The following is a 6,156-nucleotide window of genomic DNA, read 5'->3' on the forward strand; positions in this document are numbered from 1 at the left end:
TATTTCTACCTTTGGAATTCTAGAACCATTTCAAAATCATATTGATAAAAAATAACTTATTTAAATTTCAACAGCCTACATTCCTACTAGAAGACACATATTTCTTGAAGGATACATCTTGATATATGAATTTATATATAGAAGGTTTCAGAGCTTGCTGGTTGAATGATCTGTTGGAACATGACCATTTTTATTAAACTGCCATATTTTAAGTTATCCAACAGTTATGTTTATAGTGTAAAATCTCATTGGGGACTTTACATGTTTCCACAGGTCGAGTGGTAGAAAATTGATTGCCGTTGTTTCATTTGACAAATTCTTGGATCTTTACATATTTTCTTGCATTTACTCATCACTAGGAAATGGACTGTTGTTACTTGCCAGGCCTTTGCTGAGAGAAGGAAACAGAGTCCTTTTGAAAGCTCTGGGTGATGTTTGTGAATATTTAATCATGGAGAAGGTACAATGGCCTCATTTACAGTGATACATCAAAATTAATTTCATGGTATTTTGTCAAGGAAAGACTCTTAACCATATGCCTTCAAATAAAAATAAATTAGTTGCAAAACTCTGACAAGGAATTTATCTAATTCTGCAAAGTCTTTGGATGCAAGATTTCCTTAAACAAAAATAGAATCATTCATGCAAACATGATTGAGTTCAATTTATTTCTGTTGTTCAAAAGGAATCAGAAAAAAAAGCATTTCTGTCTTCTGATGCTTCCAAACTCAAACTGAGTGTCTTTAATTGAGTCTCATGTTTTTATTAGAAATACATTAAATGCAAAATTAAGTAGAAAGAGAGAGAACCACACAAACATAGAAGGATGTTAAATACTTGGATTGGAGACAAAGTGAGCAGATCCTTCAAGTACAACATCCATTTCCTGGACCCAGAACAACACTGTATATTACTGAGTCACTCAACCCATCTTTAAAGGCAATCTCAGAGAAAAGAGCCTAGCTCCGTCTGAACTCACGGAACATTAATCAATGCTGAATAATAAACCTCACTGCGTGGTTCAGTAAACATATGGACTAAAAGTGGTTTCATGGATGAATTTCTTGTACACATTTTATTTTTTGCCATGTGATGTTTTAAAATCATGTATACAGTCAAATTTATCAGTTTTTGAAATTGTACTTGGATTTTCTTGAACTTAGATTCTAAAGAAATTTACTCACGGTTTCTTCTAGTACTTGTATGGTTTCATGTTTTGCACATTTGGAGTGTATTTTATGAACATAGTGAATCTGAGGTTACATTTTTCCAAATAGCTATCCAGTTTCCTCCACACCATTTATTAAAAAGAACATTTTTTTCTCATTGCTTTGAGATGGCACCTTAATTGCTTCTAAATTTCCACAAACAGGCTTGAGTCTGTTTCTGCGTATTCTATGCTGTTTCTCTGGTATGTCTGTCTAGGTATGCTCTAGTATCACTGTTTTAATTATAGAGCCTTTACAGGATGGTTTCACGCTGGATGGGGCTAGTCCCTTCCTCACTTCTTTTTTTTTTTCAAGGTGTTCTTAGATATTTCTGCATGTTTCTTTAGGAGGATTCAATCATAGGGGTAAAGTATCAGAATTTCTGTACCTAACTCCCAAATAAATACATGTAAATGTATACATACAGAGAGAGATGAAGCAAATGTGGCAGAATGGTGTCAAGTGATGGCTCACTGAAGGGCATATGGGTGTTTATAGAATTCTTGCAACTTTTCTCATGCTTTAAAAAATTTCAAAATAAAATGTTGGGAGAAAATCAAAGAAAAAAGTTGGAGAGAAGTTAAAGTGGTTACCATTTATGCTTTGGAAGAGGGTGGACAGACATGGGAGTGGGAAAGTGGCTCTTCAGCGTGTACTTTAAAATAATATTTAGGCTGGGCACAGTGGCTCACTCCTGTAATCCCAGCACTTTGGGAGGCCTAGGCAGGTGGATCACCTGAGGTTAGGAGTTCGAGACTAGCCTGGCCAACATAGTGAAACTCCGTCTGTACTAAAAATACAAAATTAGCTGGGCGTGGTAGCATGCACCTGTAGTCCTAGCTACTCTGGAGGCTGAGGTAGGAGAATCACTTGAACCCGGGAGGCAAATGTTGCAGTGAGCTGAGATGGAGCCACTGCACTCTAGCGTGGGTGATAGAGTGAGACTCCATCTCAGAAAAAAATATATATATAAAAGAAATAATATTTTGTTTTATTTTGAGCAATCTAAATGTATCAGTGATTCAAAGGAAAACATAAATCAAGTGAAAATTAATATAATTACCTCAAAATATGGAAGCTATGAAATGAATTTCAGGCTAATATCAAATTTGGCCAGTGTTAGAATTGGGAAATTTAAACGGTGTCATAAAATTCTTGAGGAATAACACACACTGGGACCTTTCACTGGACAGAGGGTGGTAGAAGGGAGAAGATCAAGAAGAATAACTAATGGGTACTAGGCTTACCACCTGGGTGATGAAATAATCTGTACAACAAACCCCCATGACACAAGTTTACCTATGTAATCAACCTGCACTTGTACCCCTGAACTTAAAATAGAAGTTAAAAAAATAGAAATTCGTGTACATAAGTTATAAGTTATAAAAATAAAATTCTTGAGGATGGATGAGCCAAGGGAGTTCTTCTGGGGGTCTGCCTCTTCCTGGTCCAGGGACCTACTGGTTGAGAGGAGCTGGGAGCCAGGTGGCATCTCACTCCCAGAGGAGGCATCCCTGGAAACTTAGAAAACTTTTTCATCTAGAGATGACAATTCTGACTCCTTTTCCCACTTTCATCCTTCTCTTTCCCACTCTCTAGAGATTTCTGTATTTATTAAAGGCCAACCAACTTCCATCAGGTGGAGTCCTGTGTACCATGTGTCCTTGTGGTGGAGTTGACGCATGCATATGCACATTTGCACACCTCCAACATCACTTCTGTCTTTGTTCCACTTTTCAAAGCAGACATTCTGAGGAGAGGGGGCAAGAAATCCTTCCTAGTTGTCAAGCTAGCTGGCACTACTGCTCTCTCTCAGCTAGGTTTTTTTTTTTTTTTCCTCCCTGGAATTCTATTGTCTTGCTTCTTATTCTTCATCTGATTACAGCTCTCCTTCATTCAGGTCTCAGGATAGACTTCACTTGTTCTGAAAATTTGGTCTATATTTTTCAAGATCTTGTTATCTGTTCTTTCCATGTACTCCTATAGTCCTTGGGATAAGGACAGCATAGGACATTTTGTGGTGTGTTGTAATTACCTAATGATGCCTAACATTTACTGAGCACTCACTATATGCTCAGGGCTTAAATGTACTATTTGATTTCCACATCAATCCCATGAGGTAGGAGACACTTTGACCTGTATTTTACAGAAGAGGAAAGTCGGCTTAGAGAAACGTAGTCACTTGTTGTGACGGGCAGTCTTTAGGGTGGCCTCCAATGATCCCCACCTTCTGGCATTCACAGTCTTGTGTAGTCCCCTTCCCTTGAAAGTGGGGCTAGTAACTTTCTCCTAGACAACAGAATACAGAGAAAGTGGTTAAATGTCACTTCTGTGATTTGATTATAGAGGACTGTGACATGTATCTTGGTGGCAGAGTCTCTCTAATGCTTTCTGAGCTTGTACCCTTTGATAAAACAAGAGAGTATGTTGGAAAGGCTCATATGGCAAGGGACTGGGGGTGCCCTCTGGCTAACTGCAACCGAGATCCTCAGTCCAACGATCCTCAAGACTTGAATACTGTCAACAACTGCACGAGTAAACTCAGAAGTAGATGCCTCTGCTGTTGAAACTGCAGATGAGACTTTACTCTTGTGTATGATTGTAGCTTTGTGAGAGACCTCAAGAAAGAGGGCTCAGTTAAGCTATGCCCAGATTCCTCACTCAGAAACTGTGAGATAATAAATTTGTGTTGTATTAAGCTGCTGCATTTTGGAGAAAAGGCAGATAACTTTGGGTAACTGATAGATAACTTAGCAATAGATTGCTAGCAATAGACAACTAATACACTTGACTTAGATCCCACAGGTAGAAAGAGTACAGGGTTAAAATCCAGGGCCTCTGATTCCCTCAATGAATACTTATGTCATGCTGCCTGGTTACTTACCAATTATTATTATTATTTTCATTTCAAACTTGTTCTGACTTTAATTCCTGGCATTTAGCCTGAATCTGGTATTTTGTGCGTCCTTGACAGTTATGAAATGAAAAGTGGGTCCATGAAACACAAAATATTGTATGGTAAATTAGCCAATCAAAGCAACATTTTTAAACTTTGTATTTCTTAAAATTGAGAAAAGAGAGTCCGGGCATGGTGGCTCATGCCTGTAATCCCAGCATTTTGGGAGGCCAAGGCGGGGGGATCACGAGGTCAGGAGATCGAGACCATCCTGGCTAACACAGTGAAACCCCTTCTCTACTAAAAATACAAAAAAATTAGCCAGGTGTGGTGGCGGGCGCCTGTAGTCCCAGCTACTCGGGAGGCTGAGGCAGGAGAATGGCATGAACCTGGGAGGCAGAGCTTGCAGTGAGCCAAGATCGCGCCACTGCACTCCAGCCTGGGTGACAGAGCGGGACTCCGTTTCAAAAATAAAAAAAAAATAAAAATCGAGAAAAGAGAAGAGCTACACATAGCACAATTATTCTTGGAACTATTTTGCACTTCTGTGTGCTGACTGTTATGTTAGGTTGCATGGTTAATTTTAACATCTCTCTACACTAGAACATGGATTGGGTACCACACTTGGGCCCTGATTTGAAATTAATTACTTTATCAAACATTTGTTAAACAACTTTGAAATTTCTGCCTATGTGCCAAGCCCTTGAAACACAAAGCTGGGTAAAACAGTGTAAGGGCAAGGACAAATACAGATAGTGACATCATTGCATGATCTGATAAGTGATTTAATCACAATTTGAACAAAGAACTGTGGGAATAAAATACAGAGGATAACCTTCCTTCAGTGGTCTCCCTGTTTCTTTCTCTCTCATTTTCTCTGTCTACACACATGTGCACACTAACACATGTATTGATATCATTCCGGCTAATTCAGAAAATCATAAATGTTCACTCAAGAGAGTTAAGATTTTACTCAATGATTGTAATTGTAAAGTGACTATGAGAAAAAGTTCAAGTGAAAGGACTTGGCTGATCTGAAGTAGGGTGTTATCAATTTTAATGAATCATTGAGCAACAGGTTTAGAGAGGACATTAAAAGAGATGACACACAAATATAAACCAGAGAATTGCCAATTGAAGGGAACAACCAGAAATGCAATTTAAAGTGGTGTTCTTTTGATGTTCAAAGTAACTTTTGGTGATTTTTACACACAGAGAAAAAGAAAACATTTTTTCCCTACTCAAGGTACTGCCATACAAAATAATCAAAAGGAAAAAGTATCACTTTTAGGTAGCCATTTTCTACACCTCAATCAGATTAAAGGTCTATTTTTCATCGGTTTACTTAGAGTGAATTTGCACTGCTGCATGGTGTTGTTAGTCTTTGTTGGATACCATAAGGTGTCTCCCAAGAACTTAGGAATAATGAAAATAAAATTGTTCCCTGAGAGCTAAACTATGAGCCAAACAAATAATAAATAAAAGTAGAGAATCACAGTTACCTTAAATAGACAAAAGAGCTCCCAGGACTGCAAGACTTGATTGTAACCTGCCTGAATGTATTAGAGTACTAAGAAAGAATATAGTCTCAACTGATGTCTGCACAGCCATGGGAAGATAAGGGAAAAGAAAGTCTCAGAGCAATATGGGCATGCCATTTATGCATGGTCCTGGCTAGGGAGTAAGAGCATCCTTTTGAGTAGGATATGTCTAGCTCTTACACATCAGATTAATCTCCCAAATCCTTGTTGTGTTCTCTTTACATGATCAGGAAGGAAATCTCCAATTGTGATCTGGCTTCCTGCAGGGGTTAAGGTAAACAAGGCAGACCCTGAGAAGAGGCGAAGGCAGAAAGTATCAGTTGGTTGAAGAAAGATAGTATCAGTTGTTGAAGAAAGAATAGAAAGCATGGGCCAGGCCGGGTGGCTCACACCTATAATCCCAGCACTTTGGTAGGCTGAGGCAGGTGGATCACGAGGTCAGGAGATCGAGACCATCCTGGCCAATATGGTGAAACCCCGTCTCTACTAAAAATACAAAAATTAGCTGGGC

At 38.7% G+C, this 6,156-nt stretch overlaps 1 protein-coding gene across 13 annotated transcripts in view; it reads right to left on the minus strand.

Annotated features, from left to right (window-relative positions):
- Positions 1 to 6,156, minus strand: part of GRIK1 (glutamate ionotropic receptor kainate type subunit 1) — a 403,064-nt gene that overhangs the window by 204,601 nt on the left and 192,307 nt on the right. The window lies entirely within an intron of this gene.

The sequence above is a fragment of the Homo sapiens genome, chromosome 21, assembly GCF_000001405.40.
Source record: "Homo sapiens chromosome 21, GRCh38.p14 Primary Assembly".
Classification (NCBI taxonomy): domain Eukaryota; kingdom Metazoa; phylum Chordata; class Mammalia; order Primates; family Hominidae; genus Homo; species Homo sapiens.